Consider the following 21,573-nt stretch of genomic DNA (forward strand, 5'->3'; position numbering starts at 1 on the left):
CAGAGGGGCACAATATTTAACTAAAGCTTCCGTTAACGTATTAAAGGCTAGCCAATGATATCTATAGCATAAAAGACCTTTATCACTGGAAGGGAAACTAATCGTCCTGTCTCACGGGGTGATTATAGGGATTAAGTGAGATAATCAGGTCAGGAGAGTACATAGCAAATAATAGGCAATTTAGTAGCTTCCTTTAATTATTTCTAATAATCTACTCCCTGATCTTCTCTCAGGAACCACCTCTAGAAACCACCCATTCAAAGAGAGAATTTTAATGTTTATAAAATATTTGAGCAGAGCCCTGACTGAGGAAGCAAGTCATGTAACAACGTGGGAAAGAGAACTCCAGGCAAAGGAAAGATTAAGTAAAAAATCTTGAGGTAGACTGGGCGTGTGGCTCACACCTGTAATCCCAGCACTTTGGGAGGCCAAGGCAAGTGGATCACTTGAGGTCAGGAGTTCTAGACCAGCTTGGCCAATATGGTGAAACCCCAATCTCTACTAAAAATACAAAAATTAGTCAGGCATGGTGGCATGTGCCTGTAATCCCAGCTACTTGGGAGGCTGAGATAGGAGAATTACTTGAACCCAGGAGGTGGAGGTTGCAGTGAGCCGAGACCATGCCACTGCACTCCAGCCTGGGCAACAGAGCAAGGCTCTGTCTCAAAAAAAAAAAAAAAAAAAAACACTTCAGGTAGAAATTGGTCTGGGTGCAGTGGCTCATGCCTGTAATTCCAGCACTTTGGGAGGCGGAGGCAGGAGGAATGCTTGAGGCCAAGAGTGCAAGACCAACCTGGCCAACATAGTGAAGCACTGTCTCTATGAAAAAAAAAACAAAAAGGAATCAATATGGCATATTTGAAGCATGACAGAAGCCACTGGAGAATAGGCAGAACAGTAGCATTTTCTCATTTATTTTTATCTCTTTGGCTGCTGTGTGGAGAATATAGTGTAGGAGGACAAGAGCAGAAGAGGTGCATAGTAGGTCAATAAATAGTTGAGAATTAATAAACAATAAATTTGCTTCTTTTGAATACCTTTTAAAAGGTTCAAAACACTTTTTTTGTGTGTGTGTGTGAGACGGAGTCTCACTCGGTCGCCCAGGCTGCAGTGCAGTGGCGCCGTCTCGGCTCACTGCAAGCTCCACCTCCTGGGTTCATGCCATTCTCCTGCCTCAGCCTCCCGAGTAGCTGGGACTACAGGCACCCACCACCATGCCCAGCTAATTTTTGGTATTTTTAATAGAGACGGGGTTTCACCGTGTTAGCCAGGATGGTCTCGATCTCCTGACCTCATGATCCGCCCGCCTCAGCCTCCCAAAATGCTGGGATTACAGCCGTGAGCCACCGGGCCCAGCCTTCAAAACACTTATTAAAAACAACTTTTGTTATGTCTTGAACCATTTCATTCCAATAGTTTGCCTCAGTGACAAATCACACAGAGAAGTCATGCCATTCTCCTTAATGTTTCTCATATTGCAATAATAGGTGAATTTCATAATCTATTCAGAATTAGTCGAATCTTGAGGTTTTTCTAAAAATCAAAGATAGGATCTTGAGCCTTCATAATCATACCTTCTTAAACACAAAATTAGCTCACATGATAAAAAGTTCCAAACACCACACTTGCTAGAGTATTCTGGTAAAACGTTTTTCTTTGGCATATGCAGCCCAAATAGCTCTATCCTTAATCATTTTTCAAGTTTTAATCTCCACATGCTTGGCATATTCTGATAACATTGACAGGTTAAAAGCAACACTGTTGTATGCATAGTGATTGCTTGCAATTAACCATAATTTAGGCTGAAAGTAGGCTGATCAGCTGCCTCACAGCAACATTTTAAAACTTATTAACTATCTCCAGCGAACTTTAGATGAAAAAGCAACAAAAACAAAATCTGTAACATTTCGGCTTTTTCTTACATAGAGTCTTAAAAGAGTGAAGGTGCCAATAAGACTAATTCTTCATAAAAAAAAAGACACTTTTGGCCCATATTACATCCAGTAACTACAGATACGGATAAAGATAATAAGAAAAACAGGTAAACAATGTCCAAACGAAGTGTCTTACCCTCCTTTTGTAAAAGAGACTTTTGAGCCCACTGGCATTTTATTTAAGAAATAACCATGCTATAGCCCAGTTGTGCAGAACCTCTTGCAAGTTCCAGACAGACCTCACCAGTACTTGATGCCATTATCCCATTATTTTAAAATGTGTTCAATACATAATTAGTATCTGCCACTTAATCTTTCAACATTACCTGACACGTGTCACTACCTCTATTTATATGAAGACAGAGGGATTAAGAATGGTTACGTGCTCAGTCACAAATTAAGGGATGAGAAACAGAATGCACTCAGGACTCAGAATAAGTCTATACTTTTATCATCCCATGCTGCTTGGATGCCAGACCTCTAATATGGCATCCTACCTTTTCCTTTTAAATGTATCTATCAGGTGGGGTGCGGTGGCTCATGCCTGTAATCCCAATACTTTGGGAGGCCACGGCAGGAGGATTGCTTCAGGCCAGGATTTCAAGACCAGCCTGGCCAACATGGTGAAATCCCGTCTCTACTAAAGATACAAAAACTAGTGGGGCGTGGTGGCACGTGCCTATAATCCCAGCTACTCAGGAGGCTGAGGCAGGAGAATCGTTTGAACCCGGAAAGTGGAGGTTGCAGTGAGCCAAGATTGTGCCATTGCACTCCAGCCTGGGCAACAAGAGTGAAATTCCATCTAAAAAAAAAATAAAATAACCCCCAACCAATATTTCTTTTATACTCTTGGCAGTTCCATGAACAAATGCTGGCCACAGACATAACAGAATCTTTGAAGTAAGGAATATTTCTGGGTAAATAGGTACTTCTGGAAATTATACCAATCCTTTAGGCAAAAGTAGTATCATTTGTACATCACTGCTACAAGGCACTAAACATCTCTATAGGATTGAAAGAATCCTTTCCATTCTGCCTTAAAAGGATTTAGCAGTAATAAGGAATGACTGAGCTAATGCATCTCACAATTTTGGTCACTCATATAAAAGCAGGTTTGACATATAAAACATCTGATAGAGAGGGTTTAACATATAATTCATATTCATACACACTACTAACAAATTGTCATAATAGTGCTCAGTGAAAGAAAAAAAGCTGACAAATAGAATTTAAATGCATTCACATGAGTTTATTAAAAAATCTGTTAAAGAATTACGTATTAGGCAACAGAATTAGGCAAACTAGAAGTGTTCTTGTCATGCAAATTCAGGAAACTAAAGTGAAAATAAAGTCTAAAGGCTTAATAATGTGTTGTGAAGGGACTTTGTTTCTATGCTTCATCAACAACCCTTTAAGAGTATAGCTTATTTGAACAAATACTTTTTAGCATCACCTGCTTTGAAACAGACTTACTACCTGGCCAAGTTAATGACTATAGCTATTATGCAAGGATCAAGATTACTTTCCAAAATTTGACTGCAGGTTCTTTTTTTTTTTTTTTTGAGACAGAGTCTCGCTCTGTCACCCAGGCTCGAGTGCAGTGGCACAATCTCGGCTCACTGCAACCTCCGCCTCCAGGGTTCAAGTGATTCTTCTGCTTCAGCCTCCCAAGTAGGTATTTCTTATATAGTTGAACTAACCTGACTGTGGAAACATGACTTACAATCTGGGCTTAGATGATACCGAAGTAAACTACAAAGCACTGTCTGCAACCTAAAGGAACCTCAGGGACACTAGAAAATGAGTATCTACCAACTAGTTTAACTGTGACCAAAAATATCACGGTGAAAAAGTAAGTTCCAAGAGAATATAAGCTTCTAAAGGGCAGGGATTTTGTTCACTCCTGCATCCCCCCATATAGATCAGGCCTCCCACTCAGTAGACAATCAAACTTGTTCAAACGTCTCTTTGAACAAATCAAAGAGATGTTCCTGGTGTACACTGGGGGTCAACCCAAATTCATTTCATATATTAATATTTAATAATCTCCCACCAACTTGAGAAGCTATTGAATGATTTACATGTTATGAAGCTAATTATACTATACTGTCCACTTTTGAGGAAAATGTGTGACAAAAAATTATGGTTTTTACTCTTGAGGAGTACCGACACTAGTAATTTTGAAATTGGTATGCCTGTTACTGAAGAAAAAGTGGGATAGTATTCTGGGGACATAACATTTCATGTATTTCCATCTTCTTAAAACCCCTCTAAACATGGTAAGAAAAATCAGTGCTAACATACAGGTGCTGCTTTTTTCAGACACTGGTACATCACTTAAGGCACCTGTGCCGGCATCTGCCTGGTGGTGCTCACAGATGGAAGACATTAATCATCTGTTTGGTGCTCCCACCTTGTCCATCCAGCTTCAAATATAACTGCGGTGAGCTAGATGAGTCAGCATCTGGTCTTCCAAAAGCTAGTGTAGCACTCCCAAAGCAAAAAAGGAAGAAGTTCACACCTCAGAGGCCTGAATCAATGCCAGAAGTGTACATGTTGCCTCAAAGTTTCACAGACTCCCTAATGATCTTTAGCTCCCTGGATACCAAGGCAAAGACAGATCTGAAAGCTGCAGAAAAACAGGTGGGTTGTCATACACAAGACTGAAGCCCCAGGCAATATAAATGGTATTTGTTCACACCATGGATTAACTGCTTTGAAGGATCAAAATGGGTAAGACAGCTACATTCAACATTTAAGAAGATTTTCTCAATAACAAAGCACTAAAAATGTGAATAAGTTATACTTTTATTTTTCAGAAACAAAAATGACAAGTGGCAACTTGCCTTTGTAAAAGATTAAAGAGTATCAGAGTAATAAGCTATCTCTCATAGAGACAGAAGCCCGAGAAACACTATTATACAGCTTTCAAAGGAAGTCCTATTAAATAAATCTCACAATAATATACTTTAACTCAACAAAACAAAAACCACAAAAAATTATACAGAACTCATAAAATGGTATATGAATGAAAAAGAGAAATCTTTAAATCCATACACTAGAAGTTCTCTATTAAAATCAAGGAGGCTCAAATCCTAAAACAGAAAGAAGAAATACGTTAAAACACAATATTTTTTAAGAGTCCAATGAGGTTATTGCAGATGTACATTTTAACATTTCATTTGCTCAATGTATTTTTTTCTCATTCTTGGAGCACTTCTGTATAATGTAGAGAGATTACATGAATGATAATGCAGATACTGGCCTTCTCAATGGGCCTTTCAGGTTTTAAGTTTCAAATCTGAATCTGGAATCCCACCTAAATGTTTACATAATAGGCTACCAAGAATGAGATTCCTCTTAAAATTACATTTGCTTAATTTTTACACACTATGGTTTAGAAACAATCTACTTTTGAAAGAGACACAATTTACAGTATGAATAATAAAAGTTACATGAAACTACACAATCCTTCTCATAAAATAGGAGAAACAATTTCCAAAACAAAAATGCCTAATACAAAATGATACAGTTGACTGGAGCTGGGGTAGGATGGGAGGAAGAGAACAACCATGTGACAGAATGTATGGAAGACCTAGATTCTAGTTTCAGTTTTGCACTAATTAGTTGCGTATCTTACTCTCAACTTCCTTAGGTCTTGATTTTTTTCCTGGTAAGAAGAGGTAGATGGATCTCTAAGCTTTATTCTAATTTTAAGGCTCAATGACTTACAGTTTATAAGATTTGGAAAACCTTTTGGACAATCAGTTGAATAAATTCCTTACATCTTGAGGGTGTGTCACTGTTCAATCCCATGACAATAACTACAAGGCATATCCATAATTTTACTGTTAGAAAAGAAAAAAATCCACCTAAAGGGCAAAAGTATACTTCATATCCTGTTTCTGTTCTACAAGACAGAAAACAAATGTCTATTCTCTTGCTGGCCTCTAGAAGCAGTCCTTTGAGATAGAGTTGACTGAAAACCCTAGAACAAGGATAATGGTTAAGACATCTACCCTGTCTTTCTCTCTACCTGTCTGTGTCTATGAAAGCTTCTAGACAGCTGCTAGACAGCTCAAAGTGAACTATTACATAAAAACTACCCTTCACCCTACATGATATATAGGATTTCTCTATTACAGAGAATCATTATACCAGGAAATGGTTTTCCTGATATTCTACCAAAATCCTGAGTAAAAGTTTGCATTATTGGAAGATTATTAGAATAGACTAATGTATGGTAATTGAAATTTAAAAAACCTTGTAGTAGCAGAGTCCTAGAAAACCAGAGAGTTGAACCAGGAAAAAGGATGGTATCTCTGACTTCAGCAGGTTTATCACTTATTTAAAGCTGAGGCCAGCCAGGCACAGTGGCTCACGCCTGTAATTCCAGCACTCTGGGAGGCCGAAGCAGGTGGATCACCTGAAGAGTTCAAGACTAGCCTGACTAAAATGGCGAAACCCCATCTCTACTAAAAATACAAGTTACCCGGGCATGGTGGTGTGTGCCTGTAGTCCCAGCTACTGGGGAGGCTGAGGCACGAGAATCGCTTGAACCTGGGAGGCAGACGTTGCAGTGAGCCAAGATTGAGCCACTGCACTCCAGCCTGGGCAACAGAGCAAGACTCTGTCTCAAAAAAAAAAAAAAAAAAGAAAAAGAAAAAGATAAAGCTGAGGCCAATAATTCTTACAGCCAGAGCCAAACTTTAGGTTAGAAGAAGCACTTACAGGGAATTCAGGCTTTGGACTCTTTCAGTATCTATTTTCAGTTTCAGGGAAGGAGAAGCAAAGAAGGAAGTTAAAGATTATACTGACCCTTAGAGGGATGGGCAGCAGAAATATCTGCTATATTGAGCTATTTACGGCACATACTTTCATCATAACCATCAAATAATAAATGCCTTTTTGCTTTGATGTTACTTTTTTCTTGTGAACTTTGTCCTTTAACCATATGCACTGCAAAGAGTCTGAAGTGGGAACCGAAGGAGCCATGAGCGTGGACTAAAATGCTTTTCAAAGGATTGGAGATGTTTCAGGCATAGGGGTACCTGAGAGGTTTATACGGTTTCTTAAAATTTTCTATGGTCCTAAAATTCTCATAATTTTATATGAATAATATACCACTATAAGATATTACATATATATATATATCACTTACTGTTTCTTTTAAAAAATATTTATGGATATAATTGCGTTTTTCTAAATGTTTCATTAGTAATACTCAGTCTTGTAAGTCTGGTTCCATAGTAATCTATAATGTAACTACTTCCATCTGAAGGTCCAACAATCTAGAAGAGACAAAATTTCAAAATTATTCATTTTACAAAAGATATTTCACAGCACTTTGTTTACTTTTCTCAGTTGTTAATAAAAGTATTTCAGAAGCAACAAAAATCCAGCTCTAACCTAAGCAAAAATAGGTAATTTAGTGGCTCATGTAGCTAAAAACAACTACTGGGATATACTGGGATAGCTCAAAGGATCAAAAGAAAAGCTACAGGAACCAAGGACTGAATTCTGTGCTCCCTGAGGCCCTTGGCTTCCCTGCCTCCTTGCTTAGCTCTGCTTGTCTTCATTCTGCAGAGTGGCACTCTAACTAATTGCCAACAGCTCTAGAGTCACATATTCCCAGCTCAGCAGCTCCTAATACAAAGAAAGTAAACTTTTCTTCCCCAATGTTTATATACCAATTCCAGGGAAAGACTTTTATCGATCTGCTTGGTTTTTATGCGTACTGTGGACAAACTACTATATCCATGGGAATAGATTTAATATGATTGGCCAGGCCAGGCTGCCTGTAGGAGATGAGGTTGTATCATTGACAGTCCTGCCAGAACCACCTGGAATGGAAAAGGAAGAGGTAGAAAAAAACAACACATGTTCGCTACAATCATCTTGTCCACTTAATCACATATGTGACAATCTAGTTAACATAATCTCTATAAATTACCCTCTAAGGTAGCAATCTTCAAACTGTAGCATTAAAGGTGGACAAAGATTTACCAAGGTGTATGTGGGCCCAGAGGAGAAATCAATCCTGAGAGCTTAATTCCCTAAATACTCTTTGTAAAACAAATTTGCCTGATACCATGCTACACTGGAAGCATCCTACCAGTTTCCCTTCCCACTTCTCCTCACTGTGGTCATTTCTCCCACTTGTTAACAGTAAAGCATACCTACCATCCAGGATACCCCGAGTCTTATGATGGCATATTTCCCTGAGGTGTGAAAGCCTCTGAAGTGCCAAACAAAGGGATAGCTCAAAATATTGGATTTAGGGAACTATCCTTTACTCAAAGGTCCAAAAATACATTCTACCGTATCTGTTCCAAAGATGCATTTCCAATAACATTTTACATCTTTTTGTTTAAAAATAATTTGCAACATGTTTATGCTGTTTTGATCAACTGTGTATCATTATTATAACAAGTTGATCCAAACAAAAAATCACAGAAAATTTTTAAATATTTTAATTTTAATGAATAAGATGATTCGCTAGAAGTTTTCTCTCTTTCATTTGTTTGTTTGTTTGTTTTTTGATATAGGGTCTCACTCTGTCATCCAGGCTGGAGTGCAATGGCATGATCTTGGCTCACTGCAACCTCCCCCCCGGGGCTCTAGCGATCCTCCCACCTCAGCCTCCCAAGTAGCTGGGACCACAGGTGGGCGCCATCACGCCCAGCTAATTTTGTTTTTGTATTTTTTTGTAGAGACAGGATTTCACTATGTTGAACAGGCTGGTCTCAAACTCCTAGTACTAGGATGATGGTTAAGAACATCAATTGATCTGCCTGCTTCGGCCTCCCAAAGAGCTGGAATTACAGGCGTGAGCCAATGTGCCCAGCCTAGTAGGAAGTTTTTAAACCTAAAAATATATTATATTAGGATAAAATTCTGTAGAAGAGGAATAAAAATAAAAATTCAAGGAAGAAGCAATGTAAAAATTATAATGGTTAGTGAAGAGTTCATGCACATCTTTTTTAAGTAGGTGATATTTAAAATCCTACGATATTTATATTCTGTTGGATACATTTCAAAATTGATGTAACACTTTTATTTAAATATGTAAATATTTGCAAACTAGAAGTTATATCCTTTGCAACTATTTAAACTTATGATAGAAAACTTAAATGTCAATTTAAAAATATGTGGAGAGTATGGACTTTGTTTTTGAAATTGAAGGACATTGCTATAAAGCATTCCTCATTTTAAAAATAAATTTGATCTTAAAACTATTCAACAAATACTTAATTCCTGTGATATTCCAGGTTCTATGCTAGACATTATACACTAACAGTGAATAAAATACCATCTCTGCCAACAGGGAACTTATTCCAGTGAACTACACATGTTAATATTCAAGTAGTACTTACAAAGCACATGTGTGCCACACACCATGTCAGGTGCTGTTATGCACATTGACTTACTTGTCAAAGATTAAATTGATTTGGCTTGACACTTATTTATGAGTTTACATAAAAATTAACTGTAATCCCACACTTTGGGAGGCCAAGGCAGGAAGACTGCTTGAAGCCAGAAGTTTGAGACCAGCATGGGCAAAAAAGCAAGAACTTTGCCTCTACCAAAAAAAATGAAAATAAAATATTAGCCAGGTGCCATGGTGTGCGCTTGTAGTCTCAGCTACTCGAGAGGCTGAGGTAGGAGGATTGCTTGAGCCCAGGAGTTCAAGGTTGCAGTGAGCTATGATCACACCACTGCGCTCCAGCCTGGGTGACAAAATGCAACCCTATTTAAATAACCAAATTAAGTCGGTGTGGTAAAGCACTAAACTGAAAGGAAAACTTGGAAGAGAAAGCTGTCTCTTTCTATAACTAGCTGTAGAATCAAATAATTTATTCCTTACTGGATCTCAATTTTTCTTATTGATTATAATGAAGAATAGAATAAGCTGATCTGTACAGTATTTTTAAAGTTTTAATGTCTTCTATAAGATTTAGATACAAACACCTCAGCTTAAGCCACTACAAAGTATCATCAACACACTTTTCTATGAACTATCTGGTCACAGAAGAAACTGTTTTATTTACTTTTTAAAAAAAAAAGATCAGCTATAAAGATGTCAACTATTTAGATCCACATTCCTTTGCCAAATTAAGACAGGGTGTGGTGGCTCATGCCTGTAATCCCAGCACTTTGGGAGGCCAAGGTGGGAGGATTGCTTGAGGCCAGGAGTTCGAGACCAGTCTGGCCAACATGGCAAAACCCAGTATCTACAAAAAAAAAAAATACAAGAATTAGTCAGGCACGGTGGTGCACACCTGTAATCCCAGCTACTACTAGGGAGGCTGAGGCATGAGAATTGCTTGAACCAAGGAGGCAGAGTTGCAGTGAGCTGAGATTGTACCACTCCACTCCAACCTGGGAAACAGAGTGAGGCTCTATCTCAAAGAAAAAATAAATAAATAATAAAACCTGTTTTAAGCACCCACATACACATATATAATAAATGTGCCAATTCTAACATCTGTCATTATGAGTATATGATTGTATTATTAATTATAAAATTACAAACCTTTTAAAATATCCCATACTGGATGGGAGGCTGAGGCAGGAAGATTGTTTGAACCCAGGAATTCGAGGCTGCAATGAGTTATGATCACGCCACTGCACTCCAGCCTGGGCAACAGAGCAAGACCCTGTCTCTAAAAAAAGAAAGTAAATTACCCCAATACTGGGAATTTTTTTCCTCAGTAAATATGACCATGTCCATTTGTCCATAGGCAACAGAGTATGGAACCCAAAATTATGAGTTTATTTCTCTGCTAAGAAATATCCTGAAGCTGGCTGGGCACAGTGTCTCATGTCTGTAATCCCAGCACTTAGGGAGGCCGAGGCAGGATAGCTTGAGCCCAGGAGTTTGAGACCAGCCTAGGGAACAAAGTGAGATCCTGTCTCTATTTGTAAAAACAAAAATTTAGAACAGGCAAATTAAAAAAGACAAAAAGTATATTAGAGGTTACCAGAAGGTGGGAAGAGAAGGGGAAGGAAGCTATTACTTAAGGGGTACGGTATTTTTGGAGTGATGAAAAAGTTTTAGAAATAGATAGTGGTGACAGTTGTAAAATATTCTGAACACAATTAATGCCACTAACTGTACACTTAAAGATTAAAGTGGCAATTTTTATGTTATATATATTTTACTGTACAAAAAGCTAGTATCTTATTTGCACTTAATGTTGTAGTATTAATGTTTGCAATTTATAAACTTCTGATCTTGTTAGTGTAAAATGTAATTTGTTTGTATATACTTAGGTGGTATTCTACTAAGAATAAAGGAAAAAAAATGTGGTTACCAGTAAGTACTTTATCACCCCAACTTTGGCAATTGATATGACCCCTCATTTAACAGCATTGTCAGTGAAGTCATGTTTCTTAGGTAACTCAAGTATTTTATAAATTTCAAATGTAATGAATGAAGAAGTGAAAGAAAAAAAAAAGACCATTTTATATCAATCTATGCTTTCTCTATCTAAAAGACTTCTGAGTTCCTCCATACAAAGAATGCCAACAGTAACATCAGCAAGATCAGATCATCTCCTGCAAACCTACCAATCTGGTGATAAAAGTAAAAGGATTCAGCTGTCTGCAAGTAAAGGCTAATGCAACCTGTATCCATCCCAACTCCCCCAAATAACTAATACTTTCTTAAAAGTCAGACTACATTTTTGTATCCATATTTCACTTCTGTGTGTGACTAATTTTAAGATGATGCCATTAAAACCATCTGATTAGTCACATTTTAATTAAGCATCAAAATTCCTACACAGTGCCAGAATTTATGCATTCAGAACACCTGACTTCATTTGACTTAAAGAATTCTTAGTATTAATCATAAATGACCAATATAAACACTATTCTTTAAGGAATGAATAAGAGTCACCATTTATATCCTGAGGAAAACATAGCATTGGGATTCGTCTCAGAACCAGTTTAAGATATTCTTTGTTTTGAAAATCCTCTTAAAGGCACTAAAAAAAAATCTACCCACAGGGTAAGTGAACTAAGTGAAATCTACCTAATTAAGGTCACATGACAGAGTAAAAGTTACTCAAATGATCAGTCACTTCGGTTTTCCAATTTATTTTCCCAATATATCACACCAGGGTTAAATAATGATACAGGGAGCTATCTGAAAGATTTGATGTCTATAAAATGTCCTCTGTGGCCAGACACGGTGGCTCACGCCTGTAATCTCAGCACTTTGGGAGGCTGAGGCGGGCAGGTAACGAGGTCAAGAGATCGAGACCATCCTGGCCAACATGGTGAAATCCCGTGTTTACTAAAAATACAAAAATCAGCTGGGCGCGGTGGCACATGCCTGTAGTCCCAGCTACTCAGGAGGCTGAGGCAGAAGAATCGCTTGAACCCAGGAGGCGGAGGTCACAGTGAGCCAAGATCGTGCCACTGCACTCCAGCCTGGGCAATGGAGCGAGACTCTGTCCCCCCACCGCCCCCCGCCACCCAAAAAAAAAAACTCCTCTGTGGCTGGGTGTGGTGGCTTATGCCCATAATACCAGCACTGTGGGAGGTTGAGCCAGGCAGACCAACTGAGGTCAGGAGTTTGAGACCAGCCTGGCCAACATGGTGAAACGCCATCTCTACTAAAAATTAGCTGGGCGCGGTGGCACATGCCTGTAATCCCAGCTACTCAGGAGGCTGAGGCAGGAGAATTGCTTGAACCCGGGAGGTGGAGGTTGCAGTGAGCTGAGATCGTGCCACTGCACTCCAGCCTGGGCAACAGAGCAAGACTCCATCTCAGAAATAAAAATAAAAAAATGTCTTCTGTTTGTATATATTGTTGTCCTACATCTAGCAAACTATCAAGTATACCACCTTTCCAGCATTGGTAGTAGATTTATGGCAATTATGCTTTTAGTCCTTCTTTTGATCAAAAAGGCATAGGCTATGTCTTTGACCAAACAAACTGGCTCACATAGACGTGATTCCATAGCCTTGGCCACACTTTGGTCTAAACTGAAAAGCTTAGGCTTTTAAAAATGTTCGTAAAATGCAAAGATTTTTTAAAAGATAAAAATTAAGAAAAGTGTTTATTAGGTCTACAGCCCCCAAGGAAATATTTTATTTTATTATTATTATTTTTTGAGACAGGGTCTCACTCTGTTGCTCATGCTAGAGTGTAGTACTACAATCACAGTTCACTCTGCAACCTTGATCGATCTCTCAGGCTCAAGTGATCCTCCAACCTCAGCCTCCTGAGCAGTTGGAACTACAGGCATGCACCACCACACCTGGCAAATTTTTTAAAAATTTTTTGTAGATAAGGAGTTTCACTGTGTTGCCCACGCTGGTCTCAAATTCCTGAGCTCCAGTGATCCTCCCACCTCGGCCTCCCAAAGTGCTGAAACTATAGGCACTCATCTGGAAATATTTTGTTTCTAAAAATAAATGGAATCTATTATCAGACTATTCTTGGAAAAGATAATAGGTTCCTCTAGGGCAAGGACCCCATGTTATCATACCTAAGTTGATGCTCACTAAACCGATTTCCACTGATGCCATAATGTATAGTTTATCATATCAACTTTCATTTTTATTCATTACCTCTCAAGTGACACTGTGCAATTCAGGAATTTAGCCCTATTATGTTTTGAATGTTTGTGTCCCTACAAAATTCCTATGTTGAAGTCTAACCCCAAATGTGTTGGTATTAAGAGGTAGGGCCTTTGGAAAGTTATTAAGTCATTAGGGCTCCACCATCCACTAATGGGATTAATGACCTTACCCTTTACACCATGTGGGCACATATAGAAGGCACCATCTATGAAGCAGAGAGTCCTTACCAGACACTGAACCTGCTGGTGTCTTGATACTGGACTTCCCAGCCTCCAGAACTATAAGAAGTAATTTTCCATGGTTTAGAAATAATCTAGTCTAGGCCATGCACAGTGGCTAATGCCTGTAATCCCAGCAGTTTGGGAGGCCAAGGTGGGTGGATCATTTGAGGTCAGGAGTTCAAGACCAGCCTGGCCAATATGGTGAAACCCTGTCTCTACTAAAAATACAAAAATTAGCCAGGTGTGGTGGTTGGCACCTGTAATCCTAGCTACTCAGGAGGCTGAGGGATGAGAATCGCTTGAAGCCGGGAGGCAGAGATTACAGTGAGCCGAGATTGCGCCACTGTACTCCAGCCTGAGCAATAGGGCAAGACTCAGTCTCAAAAAAAAAAAAAAAAAAAAAAAAACACAAAACAAAACAAAAAGAAATAATACAGTCTAAAGTATTTTGTTATAGCCCCAAATGGACTAAAACAGGTCCTACATAAAAACAATCACTTTTTTAAAAACTACATTTTGCATCTCATCTTGCTTGCACTAGGCACAAAGCCACACTTTGTATAAGGCATACTGCATACAGTTTCAAATCAGCAAAAATTTTTAAGGGCATACTCTGTTTAACATAACTGGTACTATAGCAGATTAATAAAAGTCATTTTTCCTCAAAAAATTTATGTGTGAAAAGTCAAATCCATTGTTTAAAAGTTAAAAACTAATACAAAGCAGTATATAACCCAGTGTTAGAGTGGTTTATAATAAATATCAAACTCATGAAACATACTTTACCAGTCTGTTAAATGTATTTATAAAATTCATAAATGTTTCAGACATTATGCTAAATTTCTGCTGCTTGTATGGTTATTAGTTCTTTAAGGAAATCCACTCTGTCATATTAATAGGAATGAAAGTAAAAGCAATTTCTTCCATGATGAACAGAATTTTTAAAAAATTGTGACAAAGAAAGAACCCAGCATACTTCCAATAACTTTCTGTATTGTAATACTTATTTCCATTTTCCCTCCACATATCCTCATCTTTCTGATTCGTGGCTGTTTGTCTCCACTTAATATAAGAGACTTTATTTTCTTTTTATTTTGCAGAATATACGTCAGTGATTTTGGTATAATTAAAAATGCCCAGGCCAGGCATGGTGGCTCACACTTGTAATCCCAGCACTTTGGAAGGCAAAGGCGGGCGGATCACCTGAGGTCAGGAGTTTGAGACCAGCCTGACCAAATTGGTGAAACCCTATCTCTACTAAAAATACAAAATTAGCCGGGCATAGTGGTGCGTGCCTGTAATCCCAGCTACTTGGGAGACTGAGGCAGAAGAATCGCTTGAACCTGGGAGGCAGAGGTTGCAGTGGGCTGAGATCACACCATTGCACTCCAGCCTGGACGACAAGAGCAAAACTCCATCTCAAAAAAAAAAAAAAAAAAAAAGTCCAGATTGTGTGAATGAGGAAAGAGGTTTAAATATAATCAAAACAATCTCATTTTTCTGATAAAAAACTCGTATTATCTAATCTATCCTTCATGACATATATAAAAATATAAGGAGGCTGGGTGCAGTGGCTTATGCCTATAATCCCAGCACTGTGGGACACCAAGGTGGGTGGATCACCTGAGGTCAGGAGTTCGACACCGGCCTGACCAACATGGAGAAACCCCGTCTCTACTAAAAATATAAAATTAGCCAGGCGTAGTGGTGTGTGCCTGTAATCCCAGCTACTCAGGAGGCTGAGGCAGGAGAAACGCTTGAATCCAGGAGGTGGAGGTTGCGGTGAGCCGAGATCAAGCCACTGCACTCCAGCCTGGGCGACGAAAACTCCATCTCAAAAAAAACTTAAAAAAAAAAAATATATATATATATATATATATATATATGTATATATATATGGCACAAAATAATGAGTGTCTTTAAATATTCAAAACTACCTTATGAATAACCATATATATATATATAGTAGTTATATATACAATAGTTACCCACAGCTGAAAGATGGTATGCTATACATGTATCACTGATTTAGATTTTCTGGACTGTATTCTATGTATTATTTCATGCCATGCATCATCATTCATATTATCTGTATATTTTTAGGAACAAAAGATAGAAAATTCCAAAGTTTAATAACAAATAGACAAACTCATAAAAGTATTTTCAGGAAACATAGCAACATGTAAAGCTTACTTTAGCAATATGGGCATTATACTTTGTATTGTTTCTGTTCAAAGACAAACTATAACTAGACTACAGTATGTTTTTATAGGTCTTGAATCCATGCCCGATACGTTTATGGGATCACAGTCCAACAGAAACACATTGCTACTCACTGGAAAATAATATTTAATGGCAAAAAAGAAAGAAAGAAAGATGGAAAGAAGGAAGGAAGGAAGAAGAGAGAAAGAAAGAAAGAAAAAGAAAGAGAAAGAGAAAAGAAAGAAGGAAAGAAAGAGAAAGAAAAGAAAAAAAAGAAAGAGAGAAAGTCATGGCAAGAATGGGGAAGGAAAGAAAAATAAACAAAAAGATGAGCCAGGGCCAGGCACAGTGACTCATGCCTGTAATCCCAACACTTTGGGAGGCTGAGATGAGAGGATCGCTTAAGCCCAGGAATTCTCCTCTAAAACTGATGATGTCAACATCAAATGTTAAATATGTTAAATGACATGAAGAATAAGGCTACCCATCTTATTTGGCTATGCTTGAAATGGATTTATTATAATCTCCCTCAATTTGAAAGCAGTCTAAACTGATCATATCTGTGAAAATGTCTTATTTAGGGGAATTTACTGCAGATGTTCACACACTCTAACTCTACACCTCAATAATTTCTTAATGTGATCGACTCCTAATCCCAGAAGATCTTTAAGTTAAACAACTAGAGGCCAGGTGCAGTTGCTCACGCCTGTAATAATAGCCCTTTGGAAGGCTGAGGTGGGCAGATTGCTTGAGCTCAGGAGACCAGCCTGGGCAACATGGGGAAACCTTGTCTCTTCAGAATATACAAAAATTAGCCAGGTATGGTGGCGCACACCTGTAGTCTCAGCTACTTGGGAGGCTGAGGTGGGAGGATCGCTTAAGCCCAGGAGGCAGAGGTTGACAGTGATCTGAGATCACACCACTGCACTCCAGCCTGTGTGACACAGTGAGACCCTGTCTCAAAAAAACTATTTATTGTAAAAAGTTCAGGTATAAATGAATCAGAAAGCAGTGACTGAATCAAATTAGCTCTATAATTTGATATAACTAAAGCTACAATTCAATAATATCACCAAAGAAAGAACCTAGCATGAAAATATTAACTAAATGGTTCAGTTTCAAAGACACTTTGAATTCTGGATATCTTAACTCAAAGAATCCCAATAATATATTAAATTCCTTGGATCCTCACTGAAAGTGAGAAGCTCATTTCTAAGCATATGTGCACAAGTACCTTAGCCTCTTCATGCCTGCTTGCCTGTCCCACAGTTAGAGAAGGCAGGATATTTGGTTAGGCATATGTTTACGAGTACAGACAGGAAAATTCCAACTTTAAAACCAAATATTTTCCTTGTTTAATTCTGGTATCTTATTGGTCCATATGCTGCCTCCTCCTCACAGTATGGTATCCAAATCTCCTAGATTGTGACTTTCTTTTAAAGCATAATGATAACATCAAGCAGACAGAATTGAAGAGTGGAAATACTATATGAGAAAGCAGAGCAAAACAGATGATGCTCTAAATGCAACTGACACACTTGCTAAAGACGTTAGGTGCTCCATAAATGCTTGTTGAAATGCTGTTTGTCAACATTTGTTGTGAAAAATTCATCTCTTTCTCTAAGAATCCTCATGAGTTAACCACAATCAGTTCTACATAATTTAACAGAAAACATCTGGTGGCACTTTTAAATGTTTAAGGACAGCATTTCACAAACTATGCCCGCCCCCAGTCCCACTGCAGCAGGAGAAAATAAGGCTATGGAGAAAAGCAAGATGAGTTATCAGGAGAGCCCTAAACATGTATATCATTTGTTTATACATATCTGTTCTACATTCTCAGATTTTCTAAAGAACGCCCTTTTTTTTTTCTTTTTAGCTTAAGCTAGCTGGATTTCAGTTTCTGTAATTTGCAAACAACACAATACTAGTATGGAGTGCCTGTCCAGTGCAAAAGAAAATCTTGTCTCTGCTTCCACAATGCCCATATGTATAACAGAATCCTATCAATGCTTTTATGGTAATTGACAAGGTGACAGTGACTATGAGGAAAAGAAACGGGTTTGAAAAATAACCACAATCCCTCTTAGAGACAACATATATTAAAAAGATTTTGAGAACTTATTCAGTAAAGAAACTTCTTTAACTCAATTGAACTCACATTTACAAATCATATTTGAGCACGGGATATTTTTTAATGAACTTCTTATGTCTTTGAGAACTACTAACTGGTAGAGCACAGTTTGAGAAATGCTAGTTGGAAACATGACCAGGATTCCTTAGATCTAGTACATGAAGAAAAATGGAAACAACCATTCTTCTCTGCTTCCTCGTATACTAAACATTTTAAATAGAACAGGAGATCACAGAACTCAATTTTGAATGTAAAAGTAGTTTACATTCTAGATTGAGAAACTTACCTGCATTGAAATAAGAATGAAATCAATTAGGCTCCCAATTCCACAAAACCCTACAGTGCAAAACTTTAACAAACCTAGAAAAGAAGGTAAAGTCATTTATAATCTGGAAGGTCTTCTAAATATTAACAAACTGCTCCATTTTCCAATAAACCATTATTATATATATATATCACACTCTTTATATCAAGAACATAAAAGTAACACTTAAAGAAATCAAATCTTCACTTGAAAATGAGAAGAGTTTAAAGGAACCCTCTACACAGAAATGCCAAAAAATAATTTAATTCCCTTAACAAATAAATATTAGTAACTGAAAAAAACCTCAATATAATCTAATAAAATTTCTAAGAGAAAAGGCCTAAGGAAATAATCCTTAAATCTCAGTACACCAGAGTTACATCTTTTAGTCCTAAAATCCTTAATTACTTATTTAGACTTCATACATTATGTGACCCAAAATTTACTATACATTTGGAGAGTTAAAATATAAAAATTGTCATGCCAAAAAAAAAATCAGGAAAAAACACTGCTCTTGTTGTAAAATTGCAAAATTTTATTAGCAATCCAATTACCTTTATCTTATATATTTCTTTTTCCTAAGGATCACCTGTTTATTAGCTCTATAGTCAAAATCAACAATTCTGTGCTGAGCACTATATACAGCTTTGTCCTTGGTCCCAACCCAAGAGCTAAGATGCTAAAATAGATGATAACAGAGTATCTAATATGGGACATCTACAATAATATAACCCAAAAACGATTGTAAGAGGCAGATTGGGGGTGGGCTGGGGGTGGGATGATTAATCTCTTATGAATTTAAACTTGAGTTTCTTACAAGACATCTCATATGAGATATAAAAATGGTATAAGACAAGACTCTTTGTGAAAATGTAGTTCCATATATCAACTACAAATAGATGCCAGCTAAAAATCCTAAGAGAGGATGAGATCACACATCTCACAGAGGATCACACAGAGGATTCTCCCACAACCTGAGAATACACAAATAAGATTGAACTATGTAAGGACATTAGATGACTTTTTCCCCCACATATAGCAGAATAATGTTGCAAGTACAGAAATAACATGGCGGCAATAAGTTAATAACTATTAAAATACAGAAATAATTAAAAATTTTGCTTTTAGTTTTCCTCAAAACATTCACTTACCTAACATTTTATCTTTGATTACTATCTGTCACACAGAAGCCCCATTAGGGCAGGGCCTTTTATCTGTTTTCTTTACTCCTGTGTCCTTAGTGCCAACAACATTGCCTGGCACATAGTAAATGCTCAATATTTGTTGCATAAATTGATAAATATTCTCGTATTTCTGCTTCCCAAACACTCCCATCATTTCATCCATTACCTTAATAAAAACTCCTTTAGTTTTTTCATTAGTTGCATGGTACTATTAGTTGCCCAAAGAAAATTGTCTGCTGAGGTTTTATCCAGCGTATTTCATATTTCCGAAATGTATTCCTCTTCACAAAGCATGTTAGTATAAACTTGAGAATGTCATAGTTTCTTTTTCTTCAATTTGTTTATAAAAAAGAATATTGGCCAGGCGCGGTGGCTCATGCCTATAATCCCAGCACTTTGGGAGGCCGAGGCAGGTGGATCACCTGAGGTCAGGAGTTAGAGACCAGCCTGGCCAACATGGCGAAACCTTGTCTCTACTAAAAATACAAAAATTATCCAGGCATGGTGGCATACGCCTGTGATCCCAGCTACTCAGGAGGCTGAGGCAGGAGAATCACTTGAACCTGGGAGACGGAGGTTGCAGTGAGCTGAGACTGTGCCACTGGACTCCAGCCGGGGCAACAAAGCCGGGGCAACCTTGTCTCAAAAAAAAAAAAAAAAGAAAGAAAGAAGAAAAAGAGAGAATATTAAGTATAGTCCCTCTAAAGTTATATCTTTAACTGCTAATCCATGAAGAATAGGTAATCACATCAGGGCTTTGGCTTTTTTTGTGCCATTTTCCAAGGATGTTCTTCCTTTTAGACCACTTCTTTAGAGAAGTCTTCCCTAACCTGCCTGTCTGAAGCAGCATGCCACCCTATCCCTGCCCCATAACCCACTATGCCTGGCTAGTTTTTAAAATTGTTTGTAGAGACAGGGTCTCACTATGTTGCCCAGGCTAGTCTTGAACTCCTGGGATAAAGTGATCTTCCTGCCTTGGCCTCCCAAAATGCTTCGATTACAGGCCATCACACCTGGCCTAAATTTTTTTTTTTTTCTCATACCTCTCAGGAATGAATGAAGTTTTTGATTATAATAACTGTAGTAGCAGAAATAGTGACAACAAAAGTAGTTGCTGGGCTAACATTTATCAAATGTATCTTATCTCGTTTAATTCTTATTGCCCTTCCTGTCTGTGTTCATGAAGTATTTTTATATTTGGAAACCTAAAACAAGTTTAAGATGGCATTATTGGAAACTTCATTACTAAAATCATCCTTTGCCTTAAATTTCTAGAAATAGATGGACCATAGTTAACATCACACGTTTGGAGTAAGATATGCTGTAAGTCACTGTAATGATTAAACCTTCAAGTTTTTTTTTTAACAGTGAACTGGTAAGTTTAAATGTGTTACTCCAGGAGTTTCTTTCTTTTCTTTTTTTCTTTCCCTCTTTTCCTTTCTCCTTCTTTCCTTCTTCCCTTCCTTCTTTCCTTTGCAGGGTCTCACTATTTCCAAGGGTCTCACTGTGTTGCCCAGGTTGGTCTTGAACTCCTGGCCTCAACTGATCCTCCTGCCTTGGCCTCCCAAAATGTTGAAATTACAAGTGTGAGTCACCACACCCAGCCTCTTGATTTTTTAAAACAGCTTTATTGAGTTATAAATGACATACATTAAAATGACATACAATGACCTAAATGACATGCAATGACATACACTGTACATATTTAAAATGTACAATTTGATAAATTTGACACTTGTAAACACCTGTGAAACAATCACTATAATAAAAAAAGAACATATCTGTCACACCCAATAGTTTCCTCATGCCCCTTTGTAATTTCTACTTCTTGTCTCTCCTTGCCCCCGTCTTTCCCCAGCAAGCACTTATCTGCTTTCTGTCACTATAAATTTGTTAGTTCCTTAAACTTTTAAATATTATCTCTGATCTGTTCTCTAGTTTCCTTAAATGTATTACTCCAGGAGTAGGTAATATTTACCAGTTCCAAACAAAGATA

At 37.8% G+C, this 21,573-nt stretch overlaps 1 protein-coding gene across 8 annotated transcripts in view; it reads right to left on the reverse strand.

The window, feature by feature from the left end:
- Window positions 1–4,724: 4,724 nt before the first annotated feature.
- Window positions 4,725–21,573, reverse strand: part of TM2D1 (TM2 domain containing 1) — a 44,096-nt gene continuing 27,247 nt past the window's right edge. For 2 of the 8 annotated variants that reach the window (NR_135160.2, XR_007064044.1), the window contains 4 exons: window positions 18,376–18,449; window positions 10,471–10,600; window positions 7,096–7,225; window positions 4,725–5,029 (listed from right to left, as the gene is read on the reverse strand). Coding sequence is in view for 4 of the 8 variants with exons in the window: in XM_047431743.1 (XP_047287699.1) it covers window positions 7,200–7,225; window positions 10,471–10,600; window positions 18,376–18,449 (230 nt within the window). In the remaining 4 variants the exon portion in view is untranslated. Of the gene's footprint in view, window positions 5,030–7,090; window positions 7,226–10,470; window positions 10,601–18,375; window positions 18,450–21,573 lie in introns of those variants that run through there. The other 6 variants (NM_032027.3, XM_047431744.1, NR_135162.2 and 3 more) reach the window with 5 other exon arrangements.

This window comes from Homo sapiens, chromosome 1 (assembly GCF_000001405.40).
Source record: "Homo sapiens chromosome 1, GRCh38.p14 Primary Assembly".
NCBI lineage: Eukaryota > Metazoa > Chordata > Mammalia > Primates > Hominidae > Homo > Homo sapiens.